The sequence below is a fragment of the Homo sapiens genome, chromosome 17, assembly GCF_000001405.40.
Source record: "Homo sapiens chromosome 17, GRCh38.p14 Primary Assembly".
Lineage (NCBI taxonomy): Eukaryota > Metazoa > Chordata > Mammalia > Primates > Hominidae > Homo > Homo sapiens.
In genome coordinates, this window is record NC_000017.11 from 41,157,793 (window position 1) to 41,176,273 (window position 18,481).

At 40.0% G+C, this 18,481-nt stretch overlaps 2 protein-coding genes across 2 annotated transcripts; both read right to left on the reverse strand.

The window, feature by feature from the left end:
* Window positions 1–1,856: 1,856 nt before the first annotated feature.
* Window positions 1,857–2,956, reverse strand: KRTAP4-4 (keratin associated protein 4-4). The gene has a single exon (NM_032524.2). The coding sequence runs from the start codon at window positions 2,897–2,899 to the stop codon at window positions 2,399–2,401; it is 501 nt and encodes a 166-aa protein (NP_115913.1). The 5' UTR covers window positions 2,900–2,956; the 3' UTR covers window positions 1,857–2,398.
* A 6,482-nt stretch (window positions 2,957–9,438) lies between these two features.
* Window positions 9,439–10,429, reverse strand: KRTAP4-3 (keratin associated protein 4-3). Its single transcript, NM_033187.2, has one exon. It carries the CDS (start codon window positions 10,378–10,380, stop codon window positions 9,793–9,795), a length of 588 nt encoding a protein of 195 aa, NP_149443.1. The 5' UTR covers window positions 10,381–10,429; the 3' UTR covers window positions 9,439–9,792.
* Between the last annotated feature and the right edge of the window lie 8,052 nt (window positions 10,430–18,481).

Sequence of the window (18,481 nt, forward strand, 5' to 3'; positions counted from 1 at the left end):
CCAACCACCTTGCCTCTCAGAAAGATGGGTCTGTGATACTAATCACACTCTAGAGCTTCCTATGGGGTCAGAAGAGAAAATAATTCAATAAAAATCATGTTCTGCCTTAGGTTTTTAAACTCCTCTATTCTGCTTCCCAGTTTCTTACTGATTTCTCCTGAGAGCATTTTCTTATAAATCACTTATCCAAGAATCCTTGTTTTCGGTTCTATTTTGAGTGAATCCAACTTAGCACACCTCTTAAACACAGTTTCTTTTAGAATAAAAGTTACTAGCATGGCAATTCTGCCTTATCCTTCAGATATAATAATGTGGAAGAAAAAGAGATTGAAGACTGGGTGTGATGGCTCATGCCTGTAATCCCAGCACTTTTGGAGGCTGAGGCAGATGGATCACTTGAGGTCAGGAGTTCGAGGCCAGCCTGGCCAACATGGTGAAACCCCGTGTCTACTAAAAATACAAAAATTAGCTGGACGTGATGGCACATACCTGTAATTCCAGCTACTTGAGGGGCTGAGGTGGGAAAATCACTTGAACCTGGGAGGTGGAGGTTGCAGTGAGCTGAGATGGCACCACTGGCCTCCAGCCTGGGTGACATAGCAAGACTCTATCTCAAAAAAAAAAAAAAAAAAAAAGAGAGAGAGAGAGATAAAGACAACTAGTCCAGAGATAACTGTGCCAAAACTGAGAAGAAGAAAAAGAAGAAGAGGAAGAAGAAGAAGAAGAAGAAGAAGAAGAAGAAGAAGAAGAAGAAGAAGAAGAAGAAGAAGAAGAAGAAGAAGAAGAGGAGGAGGAGGAGGAGGAGGAGGAGGAAGAGGAGGAGGAGGAAGAAGGATAAGAAAAATATTTATTTAGAACATTTACCTATTTACTAGACAGTATACTCAAGAGTTGACCGTGACACCAGGGTAACCACTGATATTGTATAAAAATGATTTAATTATGTTACGTGAAATAGGCCAAGCACAGAAAGACAAATTGCTAATGGAATGGAACTCATGAAGATAAAGAATAGATTGCTGGTTATCAGAGTCAGAGGAGGGTGCCTGTGGGAAATGAAGAGGTGGATTGACGTGTACAAATATAAGTTAGAGATAAAAATATGACCTAGTATTCAATATAACTGTAGGATGACTATAGTTAACAATGATCTATTAAACATTCCAAAGTAGCTACAAAAGAATAATTCAGATGTTCCTAGCATAAAGAAAAGATAAACTGTGATGGATAATCCAATTACCCTGATTGGATCTTTACAAATTATATGGATGTATCAAAATTTTATATGCGCATCTGCTACATATCAATAAAAAAGGAAAAATGTTTTGAAGGGCACTAATACTGAGGTTAGGAACACTGGTGTCTTAGATTGGGTCCCCACTGGAGCCGACCCAGGAGTATATTTGGGAGGTGGTCCCAAGAAGTGCTGTATGGAACACGAAAAATGCTCCAGGAAAGGGAGGGAAGTGAATACAAGATGAGTTAATGATCAGAATAGCCCTGTAGGTAGCTGGAATTTGGTGTCTCTGAGGACCACTGACATGCTGGTACAACATGCTCCCAACTGGAGGAGAAATAACTAAAGCATGTGTTCACCAACTCTCACTCATTTGTTGAATACTATTCCAAGAGGCTTTAACTCTACAGTCCAGAGCTTGCTCCTTGGCTAGAGAAACTCTTCAAGAAGAGAGTTCCAGGTGCTTGCTCTAAGAAACCACCATTGTATATTAGAATAAAGTGTGCTGAGGAAATAGAGGTGGTGCCCCTGAAATTACATTCTGCAGAGAAGAACAACAGAAAAATTGACTGGTAATTGACCACACTCAAAAAAGAAAAATAATGAGACACAGTATCTGTATATTTCTATGCCTGAAAATTTATTTAAGATTTATTTAGATAAATATTTGTTTAAAATGGAATAGCTCCATATGAGAAATTATGGCAGAGAGCAAATATTTCAATTAAGATAGTTGACAGATTTCAGAGCAAATTACAACTTATGTTCATTTGGTAGAGAGGTAAAATGTGGGGGGAGCATATATTTGGAGGCCAGATTCAATCTAAGAATTGGTTGGAACTGAAGTTTTCCAACTAGCTTCCCATAACTCAGCTCATAGATGAGCTACATCAAGAATGCTGGTTGATGAGAATCTGGTGAGTCCAGATGACAGCCTCAGCAGCAAGAAGCACTAGAGCAGGTTGGGCGGCAGCACATGGTCTGGCAGCAGTTGGGGCGGCAGCAACTGGAGATGCAGCAGGAGAGCCTGCAGCAGCTGAAGCCACAGCAGGAGGAGCTACTGCTGCTAGAGATACTGCAGGAAGGCTGGCAGCAGCTGGAAATGCAATAGCTGGGGTGGCAGCAGGTGGTCCTGTAGCAGGTGGTTTGCCAGCAGATGGGCTAGCAGCATAGAGACTGGCCACAATGGGGCCTGTAGCACCTGGACACACAGCAGCTGGGGCGGCAGCAGGTGGTTCTGCAGCAGGTGGTCTGGCAGCACTGGGGTCTGCAGCAGCTGGACACACAGTAGCTGGGGCAGCAGCAGGTGGGCTGGCAGCACACAGACTGGCAGCACTGGGGCCTGCAGCAGCTGGGGCGGCAGCAGGTGGTCCTACAGCAGGTAGTCTGGCAGCATTGGGGTCTGCAGCAGGTGGGCTGGCAGCACACAGACTGGCAGCACTGGGGTCTGCAGCAGCTGGACACACAGCAGCTGGGGTGGCAGCAGGTGGTCCTGCAGCAGGTGGTCTGGCAGCACTGGGGTCTGCAGCAGCTGGACACACAGCAGCTGGGGCGGCAGCAGGTGGTCCTGCAGCAGGTGGTCTGGCAGTAGCTGGGACGGCAGCAGTTCTCTAGGCCACAGCCCTGGTCAGAGCACACAGAGCCACAACAGGAGTTGACCATGGTGTCAGAGGGTGGAGGTTCTGGGTGGGTTTCCAGGAAGGAGGGTTTGGAAGGCTTGGAAGTCTCCTTGCCCCAGATCCTCTTTTATACCCTGCTCAGGGCTGATGTCATCGGATGCAGCACTCTTTCCTTGTCATTGTTTGTTCTGATGAGCAGGCAATTATCAAATTAGGCAAGTTTGTTTTTCTGCTTAAATTTGTCAACATGGAGAAAAGCATTATTTCCTTCCCCTGGTGTGTTAGGATTCTTCAGGTCAGCTCTTCTTGAACAACCTCTTGTGTGCCTCTTGCTGCAGCTTCCTCCTTGAGCTGCCATGTGACATCTGCCTGCAGGTACCATGTGCTGCAGCCTCATTTTCCTTAATACATTATGTCTGACCTTGGGTGATTTTAATTCTTCTAGGCCCGTAATTTTCTTTTGGTGACTCAGGAGGAGAAAGCTGTGCTTTAATCTCATGGCATGTTTGTTATAGATCAAGTGAGCAATGAAGGTTTGAATGTGAAACAGGTGACCAGTGGCATGAAAACAAATACTATTAGGATATATTCCTTGCCACCTTCCATACAATGAATCATGACCCATTTTCTAGATGTTCTACTGGGGAAAGCAGAATTGTTTTAAGGTGGACATCTAAGTCATGAATTATCGATGCTTCTTTTTCTTGAGAAACAACACTCCAAAACTCAGTTTCAGGGCCTTTAGGGGAAATTGGCTACAGAGATCAGCTATACTAAAAGGTTCAGGTCCCTCCGCTCTCTGCTCTGAGGGGCTGATTTTCCTTCTGACTTTTCCTTCCTGTCTCTCTGGCTTTAACAATCACATTGAGTCATCTCCTCTATTTCTAAGGTTTACTTGCCAACCTAAGGTAAAGGACCCAGTGTCCTTGCTATATATATATAATATATATATATATATATAATATATATTATATATATACATATATATACTATATATAGTATACACACACACGTATATACACACTATATATAAATATACACACTATATATAAATATGCACACTATATATAAATATACACACATACACACACATATATGTGTGTGTATGTATGTGTGTGTATGTGTGCGTGTGTGTGTGTATATATATATATATATATATATATACACACACACACGCACACATACACACACATTATGTCTGACCTTGGGTGATTTTAATTCTTCTAGGCCCATAATTTTCTTTTGATGTATATGTATATATATATATACACTCACACACACACAGGTTTGGGGGAATATATATATTCTGCCAAAGGACCTTAGGAATATATATATATATTATACATATATAGATGGGTAGATAGAGAACCTTATATATAGGTAATATAGGAATATATATATTTACATATTTATGAATATATAATATATATTCTTCATATATGTTTGTATTTAATAGTATGTATAAATATATATATAATATATACAATAACATATTTAGAAATATATATATTTATATATATATGTATTTACCTTTATCTCCTAAGGCCCTTTACCTTAGGAATATTATGCACACACACACACACACACACTCAAACACACACACACACACACTCCCCCAAACCTGGATGTTAAAGAAACCCAAGGAAGAAGGCAGAAACTTCCTGTCTTTGTGCCACCCTCCACTTTGGGATGCTCTTGGGTTAGCAATTTCTGTTTGGACTGGTCTCTCTGAGGATACTATGGACACCCCAACTCTGCTGAGGGTCTTTCCATAAAACATGCTCATCTAAATATTTGGGGGCCATGAAGGTAAGAAAAAGTGAATATGCCAAATGGCAGAACCATGTTTCCAAAACTACAGAAATACTCTCACAAGGAATCAAACCTAACAAGATGAAATATCAGAACCAATTGTAGATCAAATGAGTGGTTATTAATGCAGCATGGCAAACGAGATTGGGGAGGAGTGAATATATCTAAATTTACTGGGAGTATTTATTTAACTATACACACACCCTAAGGTTGTGTCCCCTCTTAGCATCCCTTCACCAGATAGAATATTACAAGTTGAGGACATCTTATCTGAAAATCTGAAATCTGAAATTCTCCAAAACCCAAACCTTTTTGAGTACCTATATGATGCTCAAAGAAAATGCCCAATAGAACATTTAGGATTTCATGTTTTTGCATTAGGGATGCTCAACAAGTATAATGCGAATATTCCAACTCTGAAAAAACTTGACATTTGAAACACTTCTGGTGCCAAGCATTTCAGATATGGGGTACTCAACCTGGATCACCACAATGAGCTCTATTACTGCAGGCATGCAGTAGAAAGGCAGGTTGAGAACTTCTCGTCTAGAAACAACCACTGTATGTGTATAAGAAGACCTTGAAGCAGTTTATGATGAGGATTACTTAGGTGTGTCACACTTTAGTAACCTCAGTATTAGTTCACACTTACTGCCAACCACTTACTGCCACTAACACTGTGTTAACTCCTGCATGCAAACTTGAAACATTCATGAAAGTGGAACATTTACTAAGGTAGATGAGGCATTTCTAATCCTCCAAGAGTGTTCAGAACACATCTGGAAAATGCATTTCAATCCAGGCTAGAAGGATAAAGATAAATTGGGGTTTATGAAAAGCAAAGTTGCTGTGAGGGTGGCATTATGATCAATGAGGAACAAATGGAAACACTTTGGAAATGTAACCTAAAAAGGAGAAAAGTGGAACAAAGCAATGGCAGTGCAGCCTGAAGGGGCTCTGTATGAGAATGGACTTCCTCAGATGGCTGCCATGGGCTGATATAGGATAGGGAAGATAGGATGTTCCTAGGGAGAAACAAAATCTGACACAACATGAGGAAGGTGCTTTATGAAATGGCTGCCTCTAGAGATAATCAGGGGAGGGGGTTTCAGTGTGAGCTGGTGTTTCTGACTGAGGCACATGCAAGAGCCAGATGGAGGGAATTGGATGAAATTACTTTGAGCTTCCCTCTCTGCACTCAGGTCCATGTAAGTCTAATAAGTGGAATATAATGTTATACTGTTAACCAGTTTCTACTGCTGCCCTGGTCCTGATTTCCAGGCTTACACAACCAGGATGATAACAATCTGGCTCCTGAGTGGGCCCCTGCTTCAGCACTGGCTGGTGTTCTGAGTCTGCACTGGCTCTGATGCACCCAGACACAGCATCGTATTGAGGTCCTGAGCCTTTGTCCTCAGTCAGAATGAACAGAAGCAGGTTCCAAGCTGTTACGGGGTTAAAACCCTGGTGAGCCCGTTTATGGTGTATGAGAACAACTCTAAGATTTCCTCGAGAACTTGAATTATGGGAAAAGAATCACATCCTTGAAGAACCCTGATGACTGGTACCTACCGATGACTCAGTGGAGATCACTTTTATTTACATGAATTGACTATTTTTTTTCTTTGTAAGGTGAGCGTGTGTGTTTTGCTTAATGTAAATTTGCATTATGTTTAGAAATCTCTCACGATTTCTTCTAGTACTTCAGCACTTTCATTTTTCCCCAGCTTTATTGAGGTAGAGTTGGCAAATAAAATTTTATGTATATCAAGGGTACAACATGATGCCTTGATATGTATATATTGTGAGATGATTATCACAACCAAGTTAGTTAATACCTATCACCTCACGTAGTTATTGTTTCCTGTGTGTGTAATGAGAACAATTAAGATCTACTTTTTCAGAAAATTTCAAGTACTCAATACAGTATTATTAACTATAATCACCATGCTAGTTACTAGATCCCTAGAATTTAGTACCAATGTCAGATTTTGGGATTTGACATGTACTATGATCCTATGAGAAGCAACCACTGAGGGAAACTGAGTGAAGGGTACAGGGAACTTTGTCTTATTCAACTTCATGTTAATCTATAGTTATTTCAAAATCTATCGTTATTTACAAAAGTAAAAAAAAAAGAGGCTAATTGGTAGTAAAAGACAGCATGCTTTTTTTTTGGATATTTTCATATATTTATTCTTATTTTTCATGTGTCTATGTTTAACTACATGGGATTTTTTTTTCGATGTGTGGATATGTATATAGGAAAATTCAGAGATTATTCTTTTTAAGATTGGGTAATTGGCCAGTTTGTGAGCATTTACAGTGTTTTAAATAACTTTTATCTTTCAATTAGAAACACACATCAGGCATATCATACACTCTGTCATCATTTTTCCAATAGTTATACATGTACTTTATTTTCCTTATCTTATTGAGTAGTTCATAAGACTTTTGTTTAAAATACTTTCTGTAAAACTCGGAGACAATAAGGTGGGGCTCTGCATTTATGTTCTTGTTGAGTTCTTAGTAGTCCGAATCTTATGCAATTCACCAACTATATTTCTACAAGCAATGTAAATTGGGAAAAAAATCGGGTACTGAAATATTTATTTTTATAAATGAGCTAAACTTAAAAATGATCCAAAGGGTAAGTTCACAGCAAGCATTCATTTCTTTTCCCTCCATGTAATTTGCATGCAAGTCAGGCATTTTCACATATTTTTATAAATCTTTTTCTTGATTTGTTCTCCTTCTTACAATAATTTTAATACACAATTATTTTTACTCTAGTTAATGGGATTTTTTAAGTGCCCTGAATTCCATTTCAGAACTATGAAGGGAATTAAATATTTATGTTACATGGATAATAGTATTCAATATTCATCAAAGCATGCAAAATAAGCAATTAAGAATATGCAACTGTATCCCATTATGAACATATCCTTGATACGCCTTCCAAACTTAAATTCCAAATTCTTTCTGCTATTCAGCTAGAAGTTTTTGCTAATATTTTCTTCATGGAAAATTGTATTTTCTGCATTGATTAATAATTAATAACAAAAAAATTTCCATTTTTTGAAATAGCCTATTTCTTATTAATTTTTTAATCATTCAATTACCCCCCAGCTTATACAAAGAATTATATAGTAATTATTTTTTAACAGTTAACAAGTCACAGTAGGTTTGGGTTATAACGAACATACTGTGGCTTACAAGATAATATGGAATAGTGGCTAACCCATGAATATAGTGAGAAAACTTTTTAAAAGTTATATTGGAGTAATCCCTTAGCTAATAATTATTATTGTAGTTTAGCTATTTGGCTATGACAAACTAATACTAGTTGCACCTCACTTGAAAATATATGATAGCAACTTAGTACATGGTATTGTACATATCTTCACTTGGTTAAACAACTTTTAGAGGATATGCTTAGTGATTTATATTTCAACTCTAAATTGTTAGTTTTCTTTTTTTTTATTATACTTTAAGTTTTAGGGTACATGTGCACATTGTGCAGGTTAGTTACATATGTATACATGTGCCATGCTGGTGCGCTGCACCCACTAACTCGTCATCTAGCGTTAGGTATATCTCCCAATGCTATCCCTCCCCCCTCCCCCCACCCCACAACAGTCCCCAGGTGTGATATTCCCCTACCTGTGTCCATGTGATCTCATTGTTCAATTCCCACCTATGAGTGAGAACATGCAGTGTTTGGTTTTTTGTTCTTGCGATAGTTTACTGAGAATGATGATTTCCAATTTCATCCATGTCCCTACAAAGGACATGAACTCATCATTTTTTATGGCCGCATAGTATTCCATGGTGTATATGTGCCACATTTTCTTAATCCAGTCTATCATTGTTGGACATTTGGGTTGGTTCCAAGTCTTTGCTATTGTGAATAGTGCCACAATAAACATGAGTGTGCATGTGTCTTTATAGCAACATGATTTATACTCCTTTGGGTATATACCCAGTAATGGGATGGCTGGGTCAAATGGTATTTCCAGTTCTAGATCCCTGAGGAATCGCCACACTGACTTCCACAATGGTTGAACTAGTTTACAGTCCCACCAACAGTGTAAAAGTGTTCCTATTTCTCCACATCCTCTCCAGCACCTGTTGTTTCCTGACTTTTTAATGATTGCCATTCTAACTGGTGTGAGATGGCATCTCATTGTGGTTTTGATTTGCATTTCTCTGATGGCCAGTGATGATGAGAGAGCATGCTTTTATTTGTCAACCAGGCACCTTTATCTCATTGACATTTTATGATTACCTTCATGTGTTTTTGAGTTATTATGATCCCTTCTTAAGAGAAAAGTAATCCTAGGTTGACAGAGTTTAAATGCCATGTCTAAGATCATAGGTGGCATGCAGTACAGTCAGAATTCAGCCTCAACTCTGTATAATTCTCAAGTCCACAGAATATACTCTACATTGAGCTGCTTCTGTTTAAATTAGTTTAAATCACATCATGGGATGCAGCTTATTGAAGACAGTTTTTTTGTGCTGGCAGTTATATTCCACAGCTTTCATGTTATATGTGTTAGGTTCAAAAATGTCTCTTAAATTCTTCTCCTGTTTCTACTATGAGACTGAATTCTGGCTTGGATAAAATCTAATTGGAGAATGCCAATTTAATGTTTTAATTATTAGGGTGTTTGACAACATGTACTCTTCTTGTGTTGTGCAGAAAATAGACAGAAATATACATATACCATTATATTATAACAAATGAAAAGAGATGAGCATTTTTGGTGCTTTTGAACACTATGAAGTTTTATTGAGGAACATCAAACAATTCCACATGAAAATTGATACCACAGAAAACATTAGGAAGAAACATCTAGAAGGATACCATTTGAAGATTTATGTATATTGAATTAGAATAAAGAATTCTAAAACATGTGATGTGGAATTTGACTGTAAATTCAGATTCAATAGGAATAAAAACTTCTATAAAAGAGAATACATACTAATAAAATATTTTCCAAATCAGTCCATGCCTCTGTTTTCACGACATCAGGAAGTCCACATGTTCTCTGAATAGATACTCTGTGCCTGAACTGAAGGTTGAGAGCAAGAAGGTGCACAAATCCAGAGCAGCTTCACTCAGCAGCAAGAACTGCCGCAGCAGATGGGGTGGAAGCAGGTTGTTCTACAGCAGGTGGTCGGGCAGCTGAAAGGGCAGCGGCAGCTGGACACACAGCAGCTGGGATGACAGCAACTAGAAATGCAGCAAGCCGGGCGGCAGCAGGAGGGCTGGCAGCACTGGGGCCTGTAGCAGCTGGAGATACAGCAGCTGGGGCGGCAGCAGGTGGTCTGGCAGCAGCTGGGTTTGCAACAGCTAGAGATACAGCAGGAAGGCCTGCAGCAACTAGAAATGCAGCAGCTGGGGCGGCAGCAGGTGGTCCTGCAGCAGCTGGGTTTGCAGCAGCTGGAGATACAGCAGGAAGGCCTGCAGCAACTGGAAATGCAGCAGCTGGGGCGGCAGCAGGTGGTCCTGCAGCAGCTGGGTTTGCAGCAGCTGGAGATACAGCAGGAAGGCCTGCAGCAACTGGAAATGCAGCAGCTGGGGCGGCAGCAGGTGGTCCTGCAGCAGGTGGTCTGGCAGCAGCTGGGGCGGCAGCAGCTCTCCTGGCCGAGACCTTGACCACAGCTCTGGTCAGAGCAGACAGAGCCACAGCAGGAGCTGACCATGGCGTCAGAGGGTGGAGGTTCTGGGTGGGTTCCCAGGAGAATGAGGTTCTGGAGTTTAGAAGTCTCCTTGAGCCTCTTATATACTGCCCCAGTTTCCTGTTGTCACTATATTTTTCTTGTTTTTGTTTATTTAATTGCTAAATAATTATCAGATTACACAATAATGTTTGTCCATTTAATGGCTTAAAATCATTGGGAAGAAAATATTCTTGTCCAGATGTAATAAGATCTATACCATCTACTTTTCCTTGATTCTCACCTTGATGGCATCTTCTAGACCAAATTATCTTCCTCTTCCTCTACACAGGGCTATCAGGTGATACTCTGCATTTGAAATTACATTTCTCACTCTCTTTTCCTGTACCCAGTACCAGAATGAGATTTAGTCAGTTACATTACCAATTATTCATTTATTCCATTGACCAAGGGAGAGGAAAGCCCTTCTACTCAGTGTGGCCTCTGGCCTGGGACAAGAAGAAAATGTCCTATTTTGAGTGTCATTTTTGAGCAATGAGGAAAGGTTTAATGGCCACACACAGACACCTCCTGCTTTATTCTGTTCATTCAAGCTTTACAGAAGCACCTGGCTCAAGGTCCTGCCTTGCTTATAAAACAGAGGCATTAAATGGATAATCTGAGAGACCCAAGTTGCCAGCCATTGGGATTACAAATTTGATGTAGATTCTCCTTCAGGGGAGTTCACAGCTTGCTAGAAGGAACACACACACACATACACACACACACACACAGTATTATACTGTGATAAAGTAACATCAAAGGAGCTCATTATAGTTTAATTAAAAGAATCATACTTAAAACAAATTAGCAAACATGACAATTTGGTGGATTAATTCATAAATAAATATTTTAATTTAGTTTGTGTCTATTTTTATGATATTGTAAAATTTACATACACTGAAATGAACAAATCCCAAATGTACTATTTGATGAGTTTTTATAAATGGGTACATCCATGTAACCTCCACACCTATTAAGATAGAGAATGATGTAATTTGGCTGTGTCCCCACCCAAATCTCATCTTGAATTGTAGCTCCCGTACTCCCCATGTGTCATGGTGTCGTGGTGTCGTGGTGTCATGGGAGGGACCCGGTGGGAGGTAATTGAATCAAGGGGGCTGATTTTTCCCATGCTGTTCTCATAATAGTGAATAAGCCTCATGAGATCTGATGGTTTTATAAAGACCAGTTCCCCTGCACATGCTCTTTTGCCTTCTGCCATGTAAGAGATGCCTTTGCTCCTCCTTCACCTTCTGCCATGATTGTGAGGCCTCCCCTGCCATGTGGAACTGCAAGTCTTTTTTAGAGACTCACAATTAAACCTCCTTTTCTTTATAAATTACCCAGTCTCTGGTATTTCTTCATGCAGTATGAAAATGGATGAATACAGAGAACATTTTCATTATACTAGAAAGTTCCCAAATGTCACTTCAGTAAACTCATCACTTCATAGAGGCAGCCATATGGGGAAATTATTAGCAATGTTCTAATAATTTTTCCACCATAGGTTAGTTTTGATTTGAACATTCAAACAAATTATATATAGCATAATTGTTTTTTCTGTCTGTCATCTTTGCCTTGATATGTGGCTGTGAGAGTCACAATGTTGATGCATGCATCACTAGTTCATTCAGAGCTATACTAATAACTGCCAGGGCTTCATTTTAACTATACCAACCAATGTCATGGTAGGGTGACCAGCTGTTTCTGATTGCCCAGTCTGAGGGCATTCCCTGAACTCAGGGCTCTCATTGCTAGAACTAGGAAGTCCCAAGAAGAAAGAGACAGGTTGTTCACTCTATGATAGCATCCTTAAATGTCTTAATTAAGATCATTAAAGACCAAACACCTTGCAATATTTCTGTCACATTAACTTGTTTAGCAAACACTTGATTTACAAGTCTTTACTTTATGGGCTGTGTTTGCAAAGCTGGAGAACATGAAAGATTGAAACAATTGTATTGTGAAGCCACATGGTGTCCTGAAGAGGCAGTTGTTCATTTGATTTGCTGTATATCAGGGGCTGAGGAAAAATTAAAAACATAAAAGAAAAAGGTTTTGATTATGAGGGGAGAGGTTTCTATATAAATTTATGGAGATTAAGAAAACCCTATTGCCACAGCTACAAAGGCAGGTACATTCTGAATGTAGGGAAATGTATGGAGAATCACAACCCCTCATCCAGGGGTTCTACAAGTTGGCTGAATATTAGAGTCACTCGGGGAGTGTTAAAAACTACTGATGCCTGACTCTTGCTCAGAAAAAATCTGACTTAAGTGCTGTGGGTTATGGCCTGGGCACCAGAATTTTTCAAGTTTCTCAGGTAAAGGGCAGCCAAGCTTGAGACCCATCTGCTTAAACTGTTGTATGACATACATTGTATAATATTCAACTGGAAACAGAAGCAACTAAAATAATTAAAATACAATTGGTAGTATCTACGTAGTAGAGAAAATGATACTGGATTTTAAACACTGAATTTGGAGTATTGTAAACTAAAACACTGATAATTATCTTTGCTATTTTAGATGACTCTAATACCAAAACTGACAGTCCACATGGATGATAATGGAACAACAGGGCATGAACCACCATGGGAAATTCGTATAGACAGCACACTGGATTTTTACAAAATGAGCCTCAAAAGCAGGCGAGATGTCTGTCACTGTATGTATTTGCTGCTAAATTCTACTCACTGTCTGGTGAAGCATACTTGATATTAACTTGAGGACCACACACACAAGTTACGCCAAGTCTATCTAAACTGTCCTTCTTTTATTATATAGACTAGCAGAAGGAGTGTAAGTTTTTCTTTCATATACCTTTTTAAATTTTAAACTAATTTTATGGTTGTCTTTTTAGAAGTTCATGATTAAAGACTTCACTTAGGTAAACATCAAGGAAATTAGAATGAAGTGAACCCAACTGATATTTGCAATCAACACTGAAGAACATGTGTTGTGTTTACCCCGCAACCTGGACGCATCGTATTAACATACCCTTTAAAGAATGACATGGGAAATGGGCTTCTCTTGTCAGGTATCACATCTATTATGTTAGTACTCTGACATTTTTGGAATGAAAACCTAGTATGTATTTTGGAAATAAAATGTAATTTCATTAGGTGAATTACTGTGACTTAGTTATAAGACTGTGAAATACACAGAGAGGCCTACAAAAGGCATGTCTAATTGATAGATAAATTATCATATTTCCAATTCAATTAAGTTCCTATTTATAATAAAAATCAAACTATTAAAATATTTAAGAATAAGCATTAAACAATGCTACCATTCTTGGTATGAAGTGGTATGTGTAATTAGAGCAATATTTAAAATAATATGAATACTCATATGCCATTCAGTAAATCTCTTTGTTCTAAACTGTCTTCAATCACTGCTTTATCTTGACTTTTAAAACTTAAATAGGATATTTCAGTTCACCTTGGATTTTAAAAAAACTTTTTAAGTGAAAAAATATACTAAAAATATATAACATATATACATTAATTAATTAATAATTGATATAGCTAATAATTATTAAGCAAGCATGTATGTACCCAAAGCCTTCGTCAAGAAATAGAATCTTGTCATCCATAAGAGGTGCTCCTATATGTCTTTTCTTGACTGTATCTCCCTCCCTCCATTCTAGAAGTAATCACTATTCTGATTTTAAATCCTTCTACTGTATTTTTTATAGTTTTTCAACCTAGACATGCATCCCTAATAATACAGTTTATTTTCCCACATTTTAAAATTTAATCTAAATGGAATCATAGTATGTGTATTTTGTGTTTTGATTATCTTGCTCAATATTGTGTAAGAGCTGGGGCAGCAACCTCTAAGTTAGCCCCATTATTTCTGCCACCTGGTGCTCATGGTCTTAAGTAATTCCAACCCTTTGAGTAACTTACTTCTAACCAACATCATATGGTACATTGAATGATTAAGTTATTATTCAAAAGATTGTCACTTTCTTCTTGTTGGCCAGCTCTGGTTTGCTCTCACGCTCACTCTCATTGGGTTTGATGAAGCCAGCTGCTATAAGAGACAGAGATCCATGTGGTAACAACTCGAAGACAGCCCCCATCCAACAGCTCACAAGGAACTGAGGCTCCCTCTAATTGTCCTTGGGGGCTGAATCCTGTCAACAACCATTTAGTGAGCCTGGATGCGGCTGCTTCCTAGTTGAGGCTTTAGATGAGACTCTAGTGACAGTGAACACCTTGATTACAGCCTTGGAAAACACTATGACACAGAGAACATAGGTAAGGCATGCCTGAATTCTTGATCCACAGAAACTGTGAGATAATGTGTGTTGTTTTAAGCTGTTAAGTTGTGAAGTGATAATATAAGGCAACAGTAGATAACTAGTATAGATTTATCTGGTAACATACAGCCCATGGAAGAACAGGAAGGGATCAAAAGGTGCAGAGAAGGGAGGCTGAGGCGGGTGGATCACGTGGTCAGGAGATTGAGACCATCCTGGCTAACATAGTGAAACCCCAACTCTACTAAAAATACAAAAAGTTAGCCGGGCGTGGTGGCACGTGCCTGTAGTCCCAGCTACTCTGGAGGCTGAGGCAGGAGAATTGCTTGAACCTGGGAGGCAGAGGTTGCAGTGAGCTGAGATCTCGCCACTGCGCCCCAGCCTGGGAGACAGAGCAAGACTCCATCTCAAAAAAAAAAAAAAGTACAGAGAAGTGGAAATATTAAAATAGCTCTGGTCTTAAGGCCAAGCACCTGACTATATTTCTGGGGTGAGTCTTGGAGACATTCTGTTTACAAAAGCAGTAAGGAATGAGCAGGTAAGAGAGCCACCAACATCAATGAGAAATTTAGTAGTGCCTATTCCATAAAGTCAGCATTTGTGATAAAAAGTTTTGTTATAGAACTAAGCTTCCCAGGAGTAATGGGAATGATAAGATCCCAGAATAGCAAAGCCAGGAGGTAGCATTTAACTTTAAGAATTAGTGTAGGTATCATTATATGATATGCAGCAAGCAAGGAATGGCAAACTAGGCAGAGTGATCTGTGACTTACAGGGATCTGTAGTTATGGACAATAGAACATAGTGGTCCTCAGAACAGGACATAGGTGGCCAAAAGGGCATAGGAATAACTGCAGACTCTATGCATCAATAGCTATGTCTATATCCATATCTATATCTATATCCATAGCTAGCTACATCTATAGCTATATAATCTACATCTACAGTTGACCCTTGAACAACGGGTTTGAACAACATGGGTTCACTTACACATGGATTTTCTTCTGCCTCTGCCACTTCTGAGACAGCAACACCAGCCCCTCCTCCTCTTCCTCTTCCTCTCAGCCTAATCAACATGAAGATGACCAAGATAAAGACCTTATGATGATCCACTTCCACTTAATAAACAGTAAATATATTTTCTCCTCCTTGTGATATTCCTAATAACATTTTCTCTTCTCTAACTTACATTAATGTAAGAATACAGAATACAATACACATAACACATAAAATGTGTGTTGATTGTTTATGTTTTCAGTAAGGCTCTGGTCAACAATAGGCTATTAGTAACTGAGTTTTGGGAAAGTCAAAGTTATTCTTTAATTTCTGGCTGCACAGGGTATTGGCACCATAACACTTGTCTCATTTGAGGGCCAACTGTATATCTGTATCTCCACCTGTGTATATGTATATTTCAACAGCTTAAGATTAAACAAGCAAAAAGATAAGTTGCTCCAATGGAAATTCATAATCCTTTATCCAGTTTCCAGATGTGAGTTGATTATTGGACCTAGAATTTATCAACTGAAGGAGAGGCCAGTCCTCCCAAAAACGGGGTCACAGCAAATAGTAGCCTCACTAGTCCTTTCCCATAAATACCCGCAGCCATCTTCTCAGGGGAAAGTGGAATCCCCATGCATTTGGATCCTGTTCGATACCAGATCTGAGTTGACATTGACAGTTGGAAACCCAAAATGTGAACACAAACCCCATTAGGATCTCATAATGATGGTCGGAAAATAAATGGAGTCTTGATCCGGATTAGTCTTATAGTAGTTTCACAGGGTGCACAGACCCTCATGTGGTCATTTACCCAGTTCTCCAATGTAGAGTTCACCAATAACATTCCTTGACCTATGGAGTAAGAATTATTACAATAGGAAAGGCCCAATGGGAGCTCGTGACATTGCTTGGGACCTCTCACACATTCTCCACGCAAGTGAGTGGATAGAAGCAAGAAATTAGAGACATATTCAAGGCTTACAAATGCAGGAGAGGTGAATACCACCTTCATATGATTCACTAGTTCAGACCCAACAAAAACCACATAGATCATGGCAGATGACAGTGGATGAACACAAACTCTGTCAAATAAAAATCTAATTATAGCCAATGTGATTGATGCATGTAGAATCATTTCTGGGACAAATGAACACAGTCTCCAATATGGGGTGTATGGCAACCAAACTGGCAAATGTGTCCTTTTCAATAACCACCAGGAAGCAGCATCAGAAGTGAATCCATTTCACCTGGAACAGACAGTGGTGTTAACACTCTGTGCTGAACTAGGGATATGGTAATTCTCCTGATCTTTGTCACAGTATAGTCGCAAAAGATCTAGGCATTGTGAGCATCCTACAATACAGCATGCTGATCCACAATATTGATAATGTCATGTGAATCAGATTTGATGAACACAAAATGTGAATACTGTGGAGACCTTGCTAAGGATCCATGTGCTCTAGAAGAGAAGAGAAAAGGATTCCAGAGGCTGCCACACTGGTAATATTTTTAAGCATCCTGTCTACAGCATACCAGGACACCACTGCTGAACATCCGACCTGCCAGCAAGAGAGTGGCCCTGAGTCCCTCGTAAGGTACCATCCTATGAGAGGATCAGCCAGTTACTTGCTGCTGATGGAATTGACATACAGTCAGGCGATGGGCTTGCATTTTCTGCTTGCAGTGCCTCAGCCAGCACCGTTATATGGGGGCCCAAGAGAACTTGTTGTGGCAGTGTGGAATCCTACCTAACTTCACCTTTGACTGATCAACCCCATATGGAGCACAAGGTGTGTGGCAATGGGCAGGTAACTGTAGATACTCTGTTACCCACAGTATACTTTATGCTGCACCATCCAGAAACAGCTGAACGGATAGTGTGATGCAACCACCTCTTGAAGCCATAATGGAGGTCTCAGCTTGGAGATGACACCCTGTGAGGTGGAGCGCTGTTCTTCAGGATGCAGTAAGAATTATTACACCAATCACCATCACATGGTACTGTGTCCACAACAGGTAAAATACATTAATACAGAAAACCAAAGTGTGGACAGAGGAGTTGCTCACTCACCTTCATGCCCTGTGAGCCACTTGAGGGAATTTGTGCTCCCTCCCAAATAACTGTAAGTTTTATGGAGAGGTCCTGGCTCCAAGAAGGGAGGAGCCACCTCCAGGGGGCATAGTAAGGATTTGATTGGAATTAAAGCTATGGTTGTTACCTTATCACTTTGGCTGGAGAAAAGCACATAAAGAAAAGGGCTGTTGCCACAGGCAATTGGCCTCATCATCATGAGGAAGTAGGACCACTGCTATGCCAATGGGGACAGGGAGGAATATATTTAGCACTTAAGTGATCCTCTGGGACATGCTTGGTGCTTCTACTTCCAGCCTTGACTGCATATGAGCAAGTTCAAGGGCTCAAGCCTGATAAGGACACAGTAACCAAGGCTTAGAGCTCTCAGGATGAGGACTCGGGTTACCCTACCAAGCAAGTGACCTAGACCAGAAGCAGGGGTGCCCATGACCCCTCCTCTCATACGTTTCTCTAGAAACTGTGACCAACCAGTTGGAGTGAGCCTAATGAGAGAAACAGCTGCAGCTGAGCAGTGCCAGAGGTGGACTACAGGGCTCCCTATCCTGATCCCATTTACCAGAAAGATACCCCCATCCCCAAGCTAGTGTAAGTAGGACAGCCAGCAGCTCCCTTTGTTCACCTGCACACTTCTCCAGATAGTTGTCCTCAGCTTACAGGAGCCACCTCATCTGGAGGATTCCGCCCTCTTCGCATCCTCTTCCTCTCCCACAGGGTGGG

What these genes read in the sequence shown, in the direction of transcription:
- KRTAP4-3 (NM_033187.2), bottom strand. Translation starts at nt 10,380, where the DNA reads ATGGTCAGCTCCTGCTGTGGCTCTGTCTGCTCTGACCAGAGCTGTGGT.
- KRTAP4-4 (NM_032524.2), bottom strand. Translation starts at nt 2,899, where the DNA reads ATGGTCAACTCCTGTTGTGGCTCTGTGTGCTCTGACCAGGGCTGTGGC.